The 20,945-nt window shown below is 34.0% G+C and overlaps 1 long non-coding RNA gene across 3 annotated transcripts in view; it reads right to left on the reverse strand.

The window, feature by feature from the left end:
• NUTM2B-AS1 (NUTM2B antisense RNA 1) overlaps window positions 1-20,945 on the reverse strand; it is a 135,095-nt gene that overhangs the window by 99,636 nt on the left and 14,514 nt on the right. For 2 of the 3 annotated variants that reach the window (NR_120613.1, NR_120611.1), the window contains exons 3-5: window positions 17,624-17,697; window positions 14,904-14,987; window positions 13,350-13,392 (exon numbers count right to left, since the gene is read on the reverse strand). This is a non-coding gene — a long non-coding RNA (NUTM2B antisense RNA 1). Of the gene's footprint in view, window positions 1-6,698; window positions 6,893-13,349; window positions 13,393-14,903; window positions 14,988-17,623; window positions 17,698-20,945 lie in introns of those variants that run through there. The other variant, NR_120612.1, reaches the window with a different exon arrangement.

Genomic DNA, 20,945 nt, shown 5'->3' on the forward strand with positions numbered 1-20,945 from the left:
CCCACCACCCCTAGTAAGAAGTGGAAAATGAATATACCAAATGAACATACTTGGATTTGATTTTATGATTTGATTTTTATGATGGAACGTCTTGTAAATGGGAGCAGATTCCTAAAAAAATTACAATGCCAGCCCAGTTCTAAGCACTGCATCCCCAATTACTTTGAAAAGAGGCTCTTGTAAGCCAACTGTGCAGTCACCTCTGATTATAAGGTTTGGAAGGAGTATCTTCCAGGACCTACCCTTAGCCTGATTCAGCAGATGACAATCCATTTCCTTTTAAACTTTTTTTTTTGCATCAGAAGATGCAGTAAGTTGTAAGTATTACACAGAATACTTAGGCACAGAAAACACAATAAGTAGTAAGATGTGTCTCTTAAGGGGCTCACAATTAAGTATGAAAAGAGATTATTAGAGAAACAAAGAGTTAAATCTTCTAATAGAGGTGGTGGTAGAAAGGTGTGTTGTAACCAGTCTCTGGTCAAAATGAAACCAATTTTGGCTAGAGGAATCAGGGATCTGGTTATACAGAACCCAAAGGACTTATAGTTGGTGAAAAAAGGAAGCAGCAAGTAGAGCAAAGATGGGTTGTCCAACTCCCCTTGATTGCACTCTCTCCAGGGGAGGGAACAATAACCCCTTACTCCTTGAGACCAGTCAACATGTGTTTGCCCTTGAGATAGCTTTCCCTAGTGTCTCTGGGGAGCTAGGAAACAACAGGTTAGGGTCTTTGTAATTCTTGCCTCTGCCAGGGCCTTGGCCAGAGATCTGGGAGGACAACAGACTCTTCCCCTATGTGCTGCTAGAAAACTGGTTTAATACTGTTTTCTTTTCTTTCTTTCTTAATTTTTTTAAGAGACAGGATCTCACTTTGTTGTTCAGGCTGTAGTGCAGTGGGGCAGTTGTGGCCCACTGCAGCCTCAACCCCCTGGGCTCAAGTAATCTTCCTGCCTCAGGCTCCTGAGAACCTAGGACAACAGGTGCTCGCTGCCATGCCTGGCTTTTTTTTTTTTTTTTTTTTTTTTTAAATTGTTGGTAGAGACAGGGTCTCTTTATGTTGCCCAGGCTGGTCTTGAATTCCTGGCCTCAAGTGATCCTTCTACTTCAGCCTTTTAAAGTGCTGGGATTATAGGCATCAGCCACCAACCCAGCTGCTTGTAACATTCTTGAAATGTTGACTCCATTGGAGTGACCAGCAGAGCTTGCCATGCCTCCCGATCTGTACTCTTTGCTGTAGTTTAGATATTTGTCCGCTTCAAATCTCATGTTGAAATCTGATCCCCAGTGTTGGAAGTCGGGTTTAGTGGGAGGTGTTTGGATCATAAGGATGGATCCCTCATAAATAGATTAATGCCCTGCCATGGTGAGAGTAGTGAGTGAGTTCTCTATTAGTTTTCCCAAGAGCTGGTTTTTTAAAAGAGCCCGGTGCTTCCCTCTCTCTCTTGCTTCCTCTCTCACCCTGTGATCTCTGCACACACTGGCTCCCCTTCCCCTTTTGCCATGAGTGGAAGCAACCTCCAGCCTTTACCTGATGTAGATACTGGTGCTGATTTTTGTACAGCCTATAGAATTGTGACCTAAACAAACCTCCTTTTCTTTATAAATTACCCAGACTCAGATATTCCTTTATAGTAACACAAACAGATTAAGACACTTCCCACCCAGTTGTCTCTCAGACCTCATTACGGTTATTCTTCTTACATGTGTTCCACTTTAGCTGCTTGGGTCCCCATGCTTTTCTCAACACACACGCTGGTGCTCCTTCTTGCCTTTGCATTGTCGTCCCCTCTCCTGGGAACATGCCTCCTTTAGTGACCTGAATGGCTCACCACTTCACCTCCTGTAGGTCTTTGCTTTGGTGTCACCTTCTCAGTGTGGCCTTCCCTGGCCATCCTGTTTGACACTGGCCCTACTTCTTTCCAGAGTTCTATCTTTCCTGCTTGATTTTCCTCTGTTGTACTCATCCCTACCCACATACTTTGTATTCCTCTTTTTTAATTTGTTTATTGCCTTTTTTCCTCCTTTAGACCACAAGCTCCATGAGGACAGAAATTTTGGTCTGCTTTATCCCCTGATCTCTCCCCAGCACCTAGCACATTGTACCTGGTGTATAATACATTTTTTTAAGATCTCTCCCCAGTACCTAGCACATTGTACCTGGTGCATAATACAATTTTTTTTTTTTTTTAAGAGACAGGGTCTTGTTCTATCACCCAGGCTAGAGTGCAGTGGCATGATCATAGCTCACTGCAGCCTCAAACTCCTGGGCTCAAGCAATTCTCCTGCCCCAACCTCCTAAATAGACGGGACCACAAGTGTGTGCCACCATACCTGGCTAATTTTCTTTTTTTTTTTTTTGAGATGGAGTCTCCGCTCTGTTGCCCAGGCTGGAGTGCAGTGGCATGATCTTGGCTCACTGCAAGCTCTGCCTCCCGGGTTCATGCCATTCTCCTGCCTCAGCCTCCCGAGTAGCTGGGACTACAGGCGCCCACCACCATGCCCGGCTAATTTTTATATTTTTAGTAGAGACGGGGTTTCATCGTGTTATACCTGGCTAATTTTTTAAAACCATCTGTAGATATGGGGTCTTGCCATGTTGCCCAGGCTGGTCTCCTGGCCTCAAGCGATCCTCCTGCCCTGGCCTCCCAAAGTTCTGAAATTATAGGTGTGAGCCACTGGGCTTGCCTTACAAATATTTTAGAGTTAAATTAAATATATATACATTTCAAAACTTTTCCTTTTTATAGAATATGTGCCCCAAACGGCCAATATTCGAACTGTTTTCTCACTATTTTTTTGTAGGGTGAGCTTGCTGATAGCCATATGTGCTAGCCAATACTGGATTTTCTGATTTCTTTATTCATTTAAAAATTATCCTTTATGGTGACTTTATTATTGAGCTCTCCTCTTCTGCTTGTGTACTGTGCAGTCTACTATGGGAGGAGTGAGTCCAGTTAAGGTGCCCTTCTTTAAGGGGAGGCCTGCTAAGTGGATCTTCTCTAGATAGTGAGGAGAACTGGTGAGTGAGCAATCTAGACCAGAACATGTATAATACTGGAGGGGTCTTTAGCCCAGAGATTTACAAAGAAGGCCAAAGGATTTATCAGTAATTACCCTATCTATGTAATACATGTAGATAAAGATAGATAGGCATGTATATGCATATATACAGATACCTATGTATATATCTATCTATATACATATATACATGTAGATATATACATACCTATATACATGTAGAAATATAGATGTAGATATAAATATATATATATGTGTATAGAGATATGTGTAGACATATATAGATGTATACATATATAGATAGATAGGTCTATATAGAAAACCATCTATCTATATCTAGATAGAGATATGTATTGATAGATATCTCTCCCTATCTATCTCTAGATAGATTATCTAATCTATCTGTAAAACTATCTTAAAACCATACTAATTTAAAAATCAAGATTCATCTTAATTTAAAAATCTTAATTTAAAAGTTAAGAACCATCTTTATTTTGTGGTTCATATACACCATGGAATGTTAGGCAGCCATAAAAGAGAGTGAGATCAAGTCCTTTGCAGGAACATGGATGGAGCTGGATGGAGGTCTTTATCCTTAACAAACTAAGGCAGGAACAGAAAACCAAATACTGCATGTTCTCATTTACAAATGGGAGCTAAATTATGAGAACACATGAACACATAGAGGGAAACAACAGACACTGGGGCCTCTGGGAGGGTGGATGGTGGGAGGAAGCAGAAGATCAGGAAAAACAATTAATGGGTACTAGGCTTAATAGCTGGGTGGTGAAATAATCTGCACAACAAATCCCTGTGACACTAGTTTACCTACATAACAAACCTACGCATGTGCCATTGACCTGAAAATAAAAGTTAAAAAGATTATTAAAAATATGTCAGTAAAAGTCTTTAACCAACACCAAATGGTTCATCCCAAGAGTCATCTTAATTTAAAAATCTTCACATCTTAAGAAGCTACATGGGAGGCTGCGGCAGGAGAATGGCTTGAACCTAGCAGGCAGGGGTTGCAGTGAAGCGAGATGGCAACATTGTACTCCAGCCTGGGCGGCAGTATGAGACTGTCTCAAAAAAAAAAAAAAAAAAGAAGCAACTTTGCTGCTTAAATTGAGTATAATACCCATTTACATTTAATGTGGTGAATGAAAAATTTGGTTTTCATTTACCACCCTACAACTGAATTTTTAATTCCTCCACATATTCTATTTGCCTTTCTCAACTATTATTTTATAGATAAAAGGACTTACAGAAAGCAAATATATGATTCAATATTCCAATAAAAGTGCTTTTTAAATTTATATTGAGCATTTTATCCTTCTTTCTTAAAAATCTTAAGCTACACACATTACATAGCTAGGCACTGATAAGAATCTAGTACTAGATAACCATTTCAAAGGCATAGATAGAATGCTTTCCAGGTATGGATTGTTTCCATAACTCCCCTTCCATACATTTTAAAGCCATTGCATAAAAAATAAGGAATTTTGTAGAGAGGAGTGAGTTTATATCCTTTAATATTTTCTCACTTTAGAAGTGCAGTCTTGGAATGATATAAACTCTGTAAACAGACTATCATGCTACATTTACAGAGAATTATATCAAGGTGTCTATTTTTAAGACAAGAATAAAAATTATGTTTTTTTCTAATAATAGAAATGGATAAGCAGAATTCTGGCTTCTAATAATGAGAACATACTATCCCCTAGTTTGAAATAAGTTAGATAATTTAACTTTCTCATGTTATCTTGAAGTTAATACATCATTTGTATTGAATGTATCAGTGCACTACATGAAGTCGTACATTGGATACCATCCCTTTTATCTTCCACATAAAGTGATTTAGTGTTTTAATACACTTCTTTCCATATCCTGCAGTTTTGCATAGCAAAAGCAGCATGCACTTTGAGGAAAATGTACCTTTTAATTTTCTGTATTTTAAATATTATGGGTACAAAATATTTGTATATAATTATGGAGTACATGTGATGTTTCAATACCTCCTTTTTGATCCCAGATCTTTCCTGAATTTTTTGTCCAATTTGTATTGCATTATTTATGTTTGAAAAGGAGTAATGATGTTTAGTATATACTGTTATAAAATAACTGATTCAAAGGATGTAAAGTATCTGATACTATGTCCAAATATGATTTCTAAGCAAATGTTCCTAACAATACATAAATAATAACATGGAATAATAAAATAACATGGAATAAAATAAATTCATATAGCTTTATGATTAATAATTTTACCTAAATTAAAAAGTGTTATGTGCAAATAGATGGTATACGACACTTGGCATGTAATAATGCAATTAAGTCCAATTGAATATATTGCTTGATTTATGTCCACCATCTTTGATACATGTATTGTATATCCAAACATCAAAAACCATAAGTAGCCTGTATAATGCTTTTTTTATTCTCTGTAAAGTTTTTAATATAAATATATAAAAGAGCATCTTAAATTATTTAAATAAGTCAATTATTTTATATGTGGATTTGGTATTAGAACATATATCTTCTTTTGCACAATAATCTTTTTTAAGTGTCAGAAATTATATAATTATATAGTGACTTTTGTTCACAAGGTAGTTAGTTGTACGTACCTACAAGATACTTGAAAAATATTTTTGTCGAGATTGGATGCATTTTTCTCTTATAGACTCTTAAAAATGTTAACAAGCCAACACGTGAACGTACTGAAGTATTTTTTAATCATCTTTTCTAGTGTTGATAATGAGTTGGCTGATATAAAGTCATTAGAGTGGCAATTCAACAAATATTTTCTATGGCATAACAAATGTCATTAACTTGCTAGTCTGTCACGATGTTGCAAAGCTAAAGTCACATTCATTTGTGTTTTTTGTTGTTGTTGCTGTAGTGGTGGTTTGTTTTGTTACATGAAGTGGCCCACTTCTTGTATTAAATGATTTATTCTTTCTGAAAATGTTCAATCAGAATGTAATAACACCTTCAAAAATGATTTAAAAATGTATTCCCATAGGTGGGAATTGAGCAATGAGAACACTTGGACACAGGGTGGGGAAAATCACACCCCAGGGCCTGTCGGGGGGTGGGGGCAGGGGGAGGGATAGCATTAGGAGAAATACCTAATGTAAATGATGAGTTAATGGGTGCAGCAAACCAACATGGCACGTGTATACCAATGTAACAAACCTGCATGTTGTGCACATGTATCCTAGAACTTAAAGCATAATAAAAAATATATATATTTATTTCTACTGAACACAATGTCTATATATTAGATGACCTAGAACTGGTAGGGGGTTCTAATCCAGGGGATTGTTGATAAACTCAGACAACTTCTGTATTTTTACATTGTTACTCTTAAAGTCTTGTCATTGATTGTCTCAATATTGGAAAATAACATGTCAATATTCAGTGTAATAAACTGGAAGAAAAAATGGGCCAATATCCCATTCAATTAAAGACATGAAAAAGAGTGTGTATGTATTACTTCTGCTCACATCTTAATGTTCAACATGTCGTCACCAAGCCAGATAGAACCATATACTGGGGAATGTAATGTTTATCTGAGAAACCAAATGCCTAAATACAAATTTTAGTAGTACGAAGTAAGAGGAAATAAATATGGGGGATTTTCTAGTCTTCTCTATTATATATAAATTGCAAGATTTGGCTACTTTAAAAAATATTAACATTTACTAATTTTTCATCAATTCAAATATCATATTGTAGAGTGCAATTTAATCAAATTAGATAACAGTCCCAAATATAACATTTAACTGTACATCTTCCAGAAGCCAAAAAATGAGAAATTATTTGTGGCTTTTGGCTAGACAAAGATTTCTTAGATGTGGCCCAAAAGAACAACCTAGAGAACAAACAAAAAAACCAGTTACAACAACAATAGATATGACTTCATAAAAACAAAAAATTCTATATTTCTACCCTATATGCTTCAAACTAGGAATAGACATTTCCAAATTATATCTGATAAAGAATGTGTATCCAAAATATGTAAACTCAATTATAAGGAAAATTACAGACCAACAATAAACAATAAGGAAAAGAATATACTTGAACACATACTTTGCCAGAGGAAATTCAGAGACAGCAAATAATCACATCAAAAGATGTTCAATATCTTTAGCCATTAGAGAAATACAAATTAAATGAGATGCCATTCCACACCTACACATACTTTGCCAGAGGAAATTCAGAGACAGCAAATAATCACATCAAAAGATGTTCAATATCTTTAGCCATTAGAGAAATACAAATTAAATGAGATGCCATTCCACACCTACTAGAATAAATACAATTAAAAATACTCATCATCTTGTGTGTTGGTGATGATTTAGAACAACTGTAATTCTCAAATACTGATGGTAGGAAAGTAAAATGATACAGCCACTCTGGGAAAAAAAAATGGACTGTTTCTTACAAAGTTAAATAGACCCCCATCATTTTACCTACTTATTCTACTGTTGCTCTTTAAGCAGAAAACAGTACAGCATATATACATACAAGAATGTGTTTGCAAGTGGCCATGACAAACTTATTTATACTAACACTAAACTGTAAACAACCCAAAGTTTATCAATGGGTGAATAAATAAACCAAACACGGTATACTCATAATATGAGATATAACCACACACACACACACACACACACACACACACACACACACACAAACCGTATTTTCAACAAACGGTGCTAGAACAGTTGGACATCCACATCCAAAAAAAAGAATCTAGACACTGTGTTTACACAATGTACAAGAATGGATAATAGATTTAAATATAAAAATGTGAGACTATAGAAGAATGTTATAAGTTGAATTTAATAAAAATTAAAACTTCTGCTCTAAGAAAGTCATAGTTAATATTTAAAAAACAAGCCAAGACTGGGAGACAATATTTACAAAACATGTATCCAATAAAGAACTGGTATGAGCACGCCACAGAACTCTTAAAACTCAAAAAGAAAAAAAAAAGATAAATAATCCAGTTAAAAAATGGGCAGGAGATCTGAACAGACATTTCACTGAGGAAAATATATTGATGGCAAATAAGCGAATGAAATATGCTCAACATCATGTATTATTAGAGAATCGCTCATTCGAACGAGATACCACCGCATGCCTACTAAAATGGCTAAAATCCAGAACACTGAAAACACTAAATTGTGTTGAAGATAAAGAGCAAGGGAAACTCTCATTTATTGCTTGTGGGAATGCAAAATGGCACAGCCACGTTAGAAGATAGCTTTGCAGTTTCTTACAAAGTTAAATGTAGTCTTACCACATGGACCAGTAACTTCACTCCTATCCAAATGAGTCAAAAATATTTCACTCCTATCCAAATGAGTCAAAAAAACTTCACTCCTATCCAAATGAGTCACAGGACTCCTTAAAATAGCTTTTCTCATAACAAAACTTGGTAGCTACCAGATGCCCCCAACAGGTGAGTAATGGTTCAATAAACTGGCATACCTATAAAATGGGATATTCAGTGATTAAAAAATAAGCTATCAAACCATACAAAACATGCAAGAACCTAAAATGCATACAACTTAGTGAAAGAAGCTAATCTGAAAAGGCTGTATACTGTATAATTCCAATGACACAACATTCTTAAAAAGGGAAAAACTGTAAAAAGATCAGAATTTCCAGTAGTCTCCAAGGGAAGGGACGAATAAATCAAGCACAGAAATTTTTAAGAAAGTAAAACTATTCTTATAATATTGTAGTAGTGGTTACATGACATATGCATTTGTCCAAACGCATGAAATGTATAATGTCAAGAGTGAACCCTAATATAAAACTAATGTATGGACTTTCATTTATAATAATATGTCAATATTGATGCATCAATTATAACGAATGTACCACACTAATTCAAGATATTAATCATAAAGAATATGGAGAGTAGAAGAAAGTGTATGGAAATTCTCTCTGCTTTGTTAGTTTCTACTATAAACCTAAAATTGTTCTAAAAATAAAATCTATTAATTAAAAAAAGAATGAACTATTGCTACCAGTATCAACATAGGCGAAAGTCAGAGTAGTTATGTTGAGTGCAAAAGACAGACAAAAAAGAATAGATTTTGTGTGACTCCATTTACATAAAATTCTACCAAGTGTAAACCATTCTGTAGTATCAGAAATAGATTAGTAGTTGCATGGAGATTGAGTAGGGAAGAGGGGAAGAAGCGATTACTAAAGACACAAAATAACTTTAGGGAAGTGAATATGTTCATGATCTTGATTGCCATGGTGTTTTCTCGTGTACCAATATGCCAAAACTTTAAAAATACACTGGATATGTTCAGTTTATGTCAATTACACTTCAATGAAAAACATTTTAAAATATTATGTATCTTGACTTTATGCTTATGCAGAGATATTATTTCTCTGCATAAAAAAGGTATATATGCATATATGCCATATATACCTTTTGGCATAGTGTAAAGATACATAAACATAGTATATAAATATGGTATTTGTAATATTCTTATTCATATGCAAAATATAGTTTACTTTTAATTTTTTAACTTTTCTTCTGTTTTGATTCTGTATCCTCCAGACATTAACATTGAGAACTTCATATACAATTATGTATTTAAAAATGAGTCATGTCTAGTATAATACAAAATATCAGCAATGTAACATGACAGGAACAAAATATAAATGAAGTTGCTTTGTATAGATTCATTTTTCTCATTAAAACATTTCATAGCATAATGCACTTATTCAAAAGTATTAACATATATATTTAAGTGCACTATGAAAAACAGAATCAAGAAATGGATACCATATTGATACTAAATCCTATGTTAAAGTATGTTGAATAATTTGTAGTTTTTCAAAAGTAACTCAGTCATGTCACATATTAATAATGAATATATTTATTTTTAGGAACTCCTTTTAAATAACTATTAGGTATATAGTTTTATGCTGAGTTTTATGAGAAACACAATAAGCATATCATTTTATGTCAGGAATAGAGAGTATATTTGTCCCTAGGTCATTTTCTATAGCTGTCAAAATGTTTCAACATCTTTTAAAACTCCAGAAAATGAGGAAGAAATATAGAAATGTTCCTAGGTTGTTCTTGTAACTTTATCTAGTTTTTTTCTATTCTTAATTATATTAATTCTTCCCAATGGCTTATTTAAAAATGGGTCTTCAATTGTCTTTCATTAAAATTCTATGGGGTCTCATTACGTGTAAGAAGGTTTTATTTCACACCAAGTATTTTTCTGTTATGTAAAAGGAAAATAAAGCTCTGGGCTAAAGAAATAACTTTTTTTAAAAATTTTCCCTATTGGGAAGTAGTTGAATATATACTTTGCTGTTTTCAGCTAAAACATATTAGAATGTGATTCTATTTACAACAAAAATGAAATAAGGCTGTGTTACATTGGCAAGCTGTAATGGGAAAGGTATTTGTCACCCTAGGCAAACTGAAAGGGCAGATATATTGAATTCAGTAATGCTGAATAATTAAGCCTTCACTTATAACCCTTATATTAGAGAATTCAACTTAATAAGTTAAGTCATTTTCCAAGTGTTTGTTAATGTATCAAAAGGATTTATACATTTCACAAAGGGGGACTCAAGCTAAGCTAAAGATTTATAAACACAACCAATTCACTAGAGAAATAATTTTAACCGTGTTTTTCTTGTTTTTCCAAACCTTACTCTTTCATGGAAAAAAATAAAGGCAATATTATAAAATAGATGAAAGTGCAGGGTAATTACCTTGCATTGAGAAGCCTAGAGCTCACCTGATCCACAATATTTGATAATCCATGTCACCCCTGGTTTACTTCCACAGTTCCCTTGAAGATTGAAGAGCTGTCTGAATACCACAGTCTTAGTATACTATGTTTTGTAAGGAAAACTGCCCACTCAAGAATACCTTCTATGAGAGCCAACCCATTCAGCATGTTAGGAAGTTTACTTCCATGTATGATTCAAGCCCACCTGGTCCAGTGGATTGGACAATGAATGAACGCTTGATTTAGGTGGAAGTTATCCATTTATTGGTTGGAAATCAATAAGCCTCCTTCACTTGAGAATTCTAATTGAGATGAAGGATATAATAATGATGCATACCGGATGCACAAAGCCATATAGCCTCCATAATGTTATAAAGAATAATATTATTGATCCACAGGCAAGCAATGGAGATACAAAGAGTACGAGAGTAAGAAAATAAATGTTGCCCTGGAGTGAGAGAAATTGATAAAAAGCCACTGCGTTGATTTTGGACAGGTTCTTAGTTCTATGTTCAGCCTTTATTTTCTGCCCTTGGATTCTACACTGTACATTTCAAGTTTTTTTACAAAATGGTTTTGACTACAGAAAAAGCAAGTGTGCCATTATGCCATTTTTGACATATTTTGGGAGAAATAAAGTAAAAACTATTTGTTTTTTTTATTTTTATTTATTTATTTATTTATTTTTTTATTTTTTGAGATGGAATTTCGCTCTTGTTGCCCAGGCTGGAGTGCAATGGCGCAATATTGGCTCACTGCAACCTCCGTCTCCCGAGTTCAAGCGATTCTCCTGCCTCAACCTCTCAAGTAGCTGGGAGTACAGGTGTGTGCCACCACACCCAGCTAATTTTTGTATTTTTAATAGAGGTGGGGTTTCACCTTGTTGGCCAGGCTGGTCTCGAACTCCAGATCTCAGGTGATCCACCCACCTCGGCCTCCCAAAGTGCTTGGATTACAGGCTCCAGCCACCGCACCCGGCCGTAAAAAGAATTAAGAGAGTTTTTCAGAGTAGTTTCTGAGTTACATGTAAAAACAAGATAAAAAAATTTAGTAACAGCTCTGTAGCTTTCAAAATTAAGCAGTCAGATTTCTGTGTGGCTGAGAATTTCTAGCAGTCTCCTCCATTAGAATTTGCCATGCCCAAAATGTCCCATGCTATACAGTTAAATGATTAATGTTTGAGTAATATTCAGTTTGAAATTTAAATTTTTCCTCTTGAGGGGAAAACATGCTTAGCCTTTCATTATAAAATTATCCAAGCTTTCCTCTCATTTCTATGTTCAAATTCATTGCATGAGTTAAAGCATCTTAAGGCTTCCTTCTAAACAATTTATATATTTGCCCTACGATTTCAACTAGTCCTAATCTCAGAGGATCACTTCACTGGAAGTTGTGCAAAAGTAAAACGAAATGGAGATTAACTATACTAAATTGTCATGTTGAGCTTCGTGATAAATTTAGTTACAAAGATATTATTCAAATTGGAATTAACTGCAAATCTCCCCCCAATGAAAGTGGAGTGAAGTTGGCCGGGTGCGGTGGCTCACGCCTGTAATCCCAGCACTTTGGGAGGCCGAGGCGGGCGGATCACAAGGTCAGGAGATCGAGACCATACTGGCTAACACGGTGAAACCCCATCTCTACTAAAAATACAAAAAATTAGCCGGGCACGGTGGCGGGCGCCTGTAGTCCCAGGTACTCGGGAGGCTGAGGCAGGAGAATGGCGTGAACCCAGGAGGCAGAGCTTGCAGTGAGCCCGACATCGCACCACTGCACTCCAGCCTGGGCCACAGAGGGAGACTCCGTCTCAAAAAAAAGAAAAAAAAAAAAAGAAAGTGGAGTGAAATTACTATATAAACCTAGAGTTATGAACATCAAAAAACATGATATAGCAATAAAATAATTTAATGTTGACTTAAGGAGTCATAAATCAGATATTTTATTCAACGAACTCTGATTTTTAATTATAACATAAGAATTATAAATTAGTATCTAAAAATCATTGTTTCTTAATAAATAATGAGTCGACAAAAATAATAGTTGAAAAATAAAATTATGTAGGATGGTTATATTGTGAAAATTTCCATTAAAAATTAAAATAATAAAAAAATCACCTTTGGAAACTACTTTTATTTAAAATATCAGGAATCCAGAAAATTGCAACTTTTCTTGATCTACATAATCATTTTTACATGAAATTTTAATTCCATAACCATTGCAAAGATTTTTCTTAATAAACACAGTATTAAGTATCAAACACCTTCTGTGAAAGTACAATAGAACACAAACATATACTAGAGGTATTGTTTTCTGCATTTATGCATGAACAATAAGATTTTTTAAATTTTTGACTTATCTGTGGAAATATGATAGAGAATTGTATGGTATGGTTTAAGTATTATTCATTTCTGCACTTAGATGAGGTAATTTTTTCTTTTCTAGATAAACTCTAATTCCACTTTTTCCATACAGTACACACATATACATGCATATATATGTTTCTGTTAAACAACAGTAGTGAGATTTTAACAAATGACTTACCTGTCTTTCTGAAAAGTGTCTTGTCTGTTAATGTCATATGAGCCTGTAAGGGAAGAAAGGGACTATATTACAAAGGAACAGAAATGATCCAGGAGAGTATGAATACAACTGGATTCTAAGAATACTGGGCTATTGGGTATTGGGATATAGATTGGGATAAAAGAGTATACCCCTATCAGAGCACTGTCAGTTTCACTACTGATATGGTACAAACACATGACAGGATGGTTCGTAGTATCAAGGAAAAAGTGATGGCCTCAGGTGAGGTTGCAATGTCAAATTTCCCATGGAAGATGACAGAAGATGCATATATCACTAAGAAAATAATATGTAGAATAGTTAAAATCTACTCTCAATAATTTTTAAGTTATTTTAAATTATATACTATTGTTATTAACTATAGTCACTATTTCCATAGTCACTATAACTACAATCACTATAGATCTATTACATAATATACAATAGATCTCTGAAACTTATTTCTCCTGTCAACTGAAATTGTTTCCTTTGACCAACATTGAGATAGCAACTTTTATCACAATTTAAAAAGTATAACATAAAACAATGTAATTTTATAACAAGGAAAAGGCATTTCTTGAAAGTTAATTCACAAAATTGAATGAATGAATTGCTAAACAAAACAATGTCAACAACCAAAACAACTCTAGATATCTCAGGCAGAATGAATTCAAAGAAAACCACTGCGCATATTTCTTCTCAACATTAGATTCACAATGGAATCACCTGGGACAATTTTTTTTTAAAGAAACGAATGCCTACATATCATGTCCAGACTCTGATTTATTTGTTATTAAATATGGCCTGGACATCACTCTACTCCTGACGTCCCTGCTCAAGAATCAACTTCCGGGAAGAGAGACTGGGACTCACTGATTTTGGTGCTATTCAGTTGAACTATGCCCTTACTGATTTTCCACCTGCTGGTTCTATTCATTATTGATAGAGAGGTGTTAACACCTCCAACTATCATAGTGGATTTATCTGTCTGTTCTTGCAGTTCTGTTTTCGCCTCATGTGTTTTGACAGCCTGTTACATGCAAACACATTAAGGATTGTTACGTTTTCTTGGAAAATTAAATCCTTTGTTACTATGTAATACCCCTTTGTATCCCCCTATAATTGTTCTTTCTCTGAAGTCTTTTTGTTGGAAATTAATATATTAATCCAGCTTTCTTTTAATTAGTATTATCATGTTATATATTTTTCAAAGTTAACTCTCAAGCTTGTCCACAATGTGCTTCCAGAAATTAATCAACTGCATATTAAAGTTTTCTACTCCATTACTAACTCCTGTGGGGGCTCCTGGGCTTTTGCTCCACTAGGCTATAATTCTTTGCATTTTCCCATCTCTCTAATTTAGTGGGGATTTAGGGTGGGGGCAGCAGTTTTTCTGTGACCTCAGTCCTCTAATGGATCTAAAATGAGTTGTTGATAGTCTGTTTGTTCAGCATTTTTCTTGTTGTAAGGATGGGAGTGATGACTTTCAAGTTTCTTACATACTCGAATAACTGACATTTTTTATTATATACTCACCCCTGTGGTGGTAGAAGAATGCTATAAATTTTGGATCCACAGAACTAAAGTACGAGAGGGAATTTTTCACAGGAAAGATGGTTGCTACAGAAAAAAAAAAGAAAGAAAGAAAAAAAAGATAAAGTCTTCTCTGCTATCTCTGCTAGACTCTCTAAACTCTTCCTGTCTCTGGAGTCCAGACACCCAAGCCTCCTTTTAGTTTTGAGCTTTCACTGTGCTTTTATCTTAAAGACTTTGCCTACTATGTCTTTTCTGCTGAGAAAGCACCTTATCCCCTCAATTACCTGGTTAACATCAAATATCAAATCATGCTTCTGACTGAAGGCCAAGTACCACCTCTAGAAGAAATCTTCCCTAAGAACAGCCTACATACAGTTAATTGTGTGATCCCTTTTCTTATATCCTTCGAATACTCTTCCTTCACATTACTCTTCCTTCACAGCCTTTAGCCAGACAATACATTACAGGAAAACAGGGAGAACATGATTTTGCCACTCACTCTTACCTTTGCCTAGCCCAGTGCCTGGCAAATGATAGATTCTCATTTTATATATATATATATATATATATATTTGAATGAATTAATAAATCCAAGTAAAGTAATTGATGTTTTGGAGTTATCTAAGGCTGTTAAAATCAGTTAAATATAGTTAATGTGAAGCAAAAAACTGTAAACAAAATTAACGTAATATACACGCTGATGTTACTATTTTAGAAAAAAACACAATAATTTACAAATTCCTTTCAATAATTCAATTAATGTTTATGAGATTTGATTGAAGACAAATCTGTCACAGCAATCTGTGAATGCTTTGTTGTAAATAAAAGGTAATCCTTGTAATAAGCAAAAACAAATTAACATAACAAATGTCAATTTACAGATAGACAAAAAGTGATTGTTTTCTGGATGAAAAGAGGATTATTAACAGTTGGCATAAGAAATCAAAAATTAGTTCAACAATTAGTCATATGGAAATGTCAAATATTGACATTAATGTGATAAAGAAAACAAGAGTTTCTGCAAATAACCTCCCATCCCTGATGTGAGTCTTTCACGTCATTCTATAGTTCAACTAGTTCTTAATAACTCAAAAACAGGAAAGATAAAATCCATCATTTTGTTTTACTACCCAGATCCCTCCCGTAGCTGTCATACAGAGTGTGATTTATGACTTGTAAGTTGTGCTGTGGAGCTTGACAAGTAAGTTTGATTTCATTTAATATTTTCTTTAAACCATCTTAGATCTTTGACAAGTATTTCATCTATTAGTGTTCTCAAAATGTAAAATGGGTAACTTAATGAGAACAAAAATTGTACCCTAAGATATATTTGCACTATCTACATATTTGCAATTAAATCTTAACAGATTTAATTGTAATAAATCTAATGGTTTTCCTCTTGAATTTCCTTAGACACTAGAAATTTTTATTACTAATAAATAATGTTTAGCTTCCTAGTCACAAACCAAACAGAAAGCAAATTTCATCAGAGTTTAGAATGGTTAAAACCAACATAGCTGCAATATTTTTAGTTTTGCTTTAAAATTTTGTTTAATCAATCAGTAAATCAATCAGAGTTGACCATTATGTAATCCACAGACCTTGAAATAACAGAGATATATTTCTCCGCAGATCAATATCTATATATGTTTTTAAGATAAGTAGAAATTCCCCTGAAGATCATAAAGAAAAAGTATGTCATATAATATAGTTAAAAAAATAGTTATTAATTTTTTCTGCTTATGATGTTCCAGAATCTGTACTAAGCATTTTAGAGGATTATTTTATTTAATTCCCACAATAATCCCTTGAGAAATATACTACAATAATCATCTTTAATTCACAGTTATTGAAAATGAGACACAAAGAGGTTAAGAATTTTGTCCAAGGTCAGGCAGCTAGCGTGACTTAGCAAGGGTGTAATTAAGAAAAAATATGTTTTTCTTATCTTATGGGAAATTTGGAAAAGCAAATATCTACATTCTCTTTTTAATAAAAAAAATAAAATATAAAATGTGAGTCTCTCTTAAAGCAGGGAATCAACTTTAATTAAATTGAAACAATACACAATCCTTTGTTGTTCAGGTTCTATATTATTATTATCTCTGCTGACAGCAAAAGCTAAGAATAGAAAATATTTCTGACCCAAGTTGGCAAATTATGAATCAACCTGCTAAAGAATCAGAATAGACTAACAAGTGGAATTAAATATGATTATTCTATATTATATGTATAATATAAAAATTTCTTGTTATAATTTTACTAAGATTCTACCAGTTTCAACTAAATTATCTTTTAAATCCAAGCTTAATAAAAGAAATTGGCATGAGATGTTTTCATAGGAAATAGTGACAATTCATATTATTTTTAATTAAGTGCAAATGAGATACATTATTTCTGTATTTCATTTTCCTTCTAAAAGTCATCTTTAAAGTTTTAGTTTTTCTGAAGTTGACAGCTATTACTAAGTCTTTTGGGCAAAGTTTTTTGAGATAGATTAATTTATAAAATTAGGAAGAAACTAAAGTAGTTGCAAAAGTTTCTAAAAAGATAATAAAGTAGTTGTCTCTATGTTATAATAGAAAATGAGAATGTGAATGCAGATCATTTTGACTCTGTTTGTGTTTTCAGCAAATATTACCTGAATATTGATATATAAATTGGAATTCCCCAAAGGAAAACATTTTAAAATGTTAAGATAAATAAAATCATTAACTTACATACTTGTCCTTAGTATCAGAACAATCTCCAGTGGATTCAACAGAGCATCTGCCGTTTTCTTGAACAAAGGTTTCTGCAATATAGATTTATGGTGTGAGCTTACTGGGTCACATTCTTTGTTCCTTCTTGGAGCTTTGGGAGGCTTTTATAAAAGAGCTGCTGCAGTAGAAGGACTGAGTTGTGTCACACTGAGGATTTAAGTTTCTATGGGAGAATCAAATTCACTTTAGTATAGGGATTTAGTGGGTTTCCCTAGCCTTATTAATAAAATACTAATACGACATGAAAAATGCATACTTTGTCTTACAATAATCCAATTAAGACACTATTTTTGCATAGCAAAATTCTTTACTAAACACCAGTTGCAAATCAAGTGAAATTGCATTGGCAAGAGGTGATCATACTGCTCTCCTACTCCTGCCCTTTCCTCCTACTCCAGCTGAAAATACTTGCTGCAAATGTCCTTTTATAGGAGACTTTGACTCCAGGGTATAGAAAAGGAAAGGAAAGGTCACATATATATATGTCTTGTCTATAACTGAAACCTAATACCAGCACAAAAGCCTAAAAGGACCGATTTTTAGAGGGCGTTGGCAGGAAACTCTTTGCTCTGCTATCATCTGTTTTAAGCTACTTTTATACATGATTTATTTTTTCAGCTTCTACTCTGCTACTATTCAACTGCAAATGCAATTTGTTATATTGTACACTTCAACACCTTGAACAGCATCCTAATTATTAGTGAAATGTATTACGAGTTCATAAAGAAAACAGCATTTTGTTTCTTCAGTGATCTACTTAGGATGAAAGTGTTATTTAGAAAACAATACATGGGAAAAATGATACATTAAAAATAAAAATTGCATATTAACTTTTTAGATCAAATAAACCAATTTTAAGCATTTTCATGGACCTTTATAAGCAAAATAAACATTTAAATACAGATAATTTAATTCAGTATTTTGTTTCTTGAAAATATTGGAATATGTGTTTTAGATAATGCATATATTTCTGTTATTGAAAAATAAGCTTTCAATAGTCAGCTGACTTCATACGTAAATAATAATACCATTTTAAATTTATTCAAGGATTTAGGTGTTCTTAAATATGACTTTATAACTTATTTTACTCCCTTAAAGTAAATATTTATGGCATCTGTAAGTCACTGTAAAATTGTAAAATTGGTATAGCATAGTATTCAGATTGCCCTTTGTAATGTTTTATACTATTCACATTTGTATTTAATCACAAATTTGATACAATTTAGCCAAACCTTCAATACATTTATGAAGAGAGCACTACGGAGACTTTATACAATGGAATAAAATAACAAAATGTGCTGACAGCATTCTTCCACTCAAAGAGGTATATATATTTTTTATTCTAATTCTTTAATTTTATTTTTTAGCACCCAATGATGGGGAAAATTACTGGAAGTGTGATTAAGGCTATTATAAGATACATAAACTGTATGGCATAAGCATTCTCAACTCAACTTCACACTCTACATCGTTTTATCAACTTAGTATGCCAGCTTTTTAAGTTTGGTGGAATCTGGTATTCCACACCTACATGTCTCTGAATCCCACCCGTGTACTGATGCCAAGATGAACTGAACCAGGGACGAATTTTTCTCTTATATGGAAACGTGAATATATTCCAAACTGGAGTGAGCTCTCATCAGTGGTTTGCCTATGGTAATTACTTTGTGCCTTGTAATGGGTCACGTAGTATCCTCATAAGGGTGCGTCTGAGTCCTAGACCCTCTCCCATTCCAATACCTGTAAATATCACCTTATTTTGAAATAGGAGCTTTACAGATATAATAAAGATCTCAGGGTGAGATCATCCTGAATTTAGAGTGAGTCATGGGTATTTGGGACACAGAAACACAAGCAAGGTCATGTGAAGATAGAGACAAAGGTTAGAGTTATGCTGTCACAAGCCAAGGAGTGCCAGGAGCCAACAGAATCTAGAAGAGGCAAGGAAGGATTCTTCCCTAGAGCCGTCAGAGGATGTATGGCTCTGCCTCCACCTTGATTTTGGTCTTCTGGCCTCTATAATTGAGATTTTTTTTTTCTTTTTTTACTATTTTAAGCCACAAATTTTGTAGCAATTTCTTTTGGCAGCACTAGGAAACTAGTTAATACCTCTATTATTTGGTTAAACAAAGAACACTATTAAGTATTTTTAAAACAATGTACATCAGTGTTGACTATGGTAAGCATACAGTTTATAATCAGATAGGTTTCTGTGTAAAATTTCATGTTATTATATTGATTTGTTTTAACCATACAAGACTTGCTTGGATGTGGTACCACTGAATACCATCCCCATTCCCTCCTGTCCCACAGCTTTTTGAAATGTATGGGGCTTTGTTCTAGACTGAACATTCCTTTTCCCTCAAATTTCATATGTTAAAGCCCTACCCCACAATGTGACAGTGTTGGGAAGTGAGGCCTTTGAGAATTAATTAGGTTTAGACAAAGTCATGAGCGTAGGGCCCTCATCAATGGAATTAGTGTCCTTAGAAGAACAGGAAGAGAGTCTATAGAGTGCTCTCTCTCTCTCTCTCTTTCTCTCTCTATCTGCTATGTGAGGATACAGCAAGCCGGGAAGAGGACCCTCACCAGGAAACAAATTTGCTAGCACCTTAATCTTGCCCTTTCCAGCTTCTACAATTGTGAGAAATGTCTGTTGTGTAAGCAATTCAGTCCATGATATTTTGTTATAGAAGCCTGGACTGACTGATAAAGGCTGGAACATGCTGGAGAGATGGTACAAAAACTAATTTTAGAAAAATATTTTAAGTTGTAAGATCTGAAGCAGAAGTCACTTACATATTACCATTTACATCACCAAATTACTCCATTTACAGTATAAATTAAGGAAATTTATGTTTTATTCAAGCCTTTTAAAATCAGCACACCCACCTTGCAGAAGTAATTAATAACCCATGATTATTAATTATGTTTGCCAAGTTAATTTTCATCCAGTATTACTTTCAGGGAAAGTTTGAAATTGATGAATCATCTCCCCTTTGAGATGTCACTTGTAGAACTAAAGGCTACCTATAATTTCTGTAATTGCTACTCTTTAATGGAACTTTAAACTTCTAAGAAAAATATTTCAATATATTGTTAAATTGACTTCAATGACTAAGATTGTGGTGGAGAGGATATTTCCCCAAACTAACTCTTTCTCTGACACTTAGGGGTTCATTGTAATAGTAACACCTTGCTAGCAATCATCTGCTAGTGATTTGCTCATGGAAGAAGAAGGCTAAGGAAATTTAGGTTTGATGACCTTTTTCAGAGTTTC

The sequence above is a fragment of the Homo sapiens genome, chromosome 10, assembly GCF_000001405.40.
Source record: "Homo sapiens chromosome 10, GRCh38.p14 Primary Assembly".
In the NCBI taxonomy this organism is placed as follows: domain Eukaryota; kingdom Metazoa; phylum Chordata; class Mammalia; order Primates; family Hominidae; genus Homo; species Homo sapiens.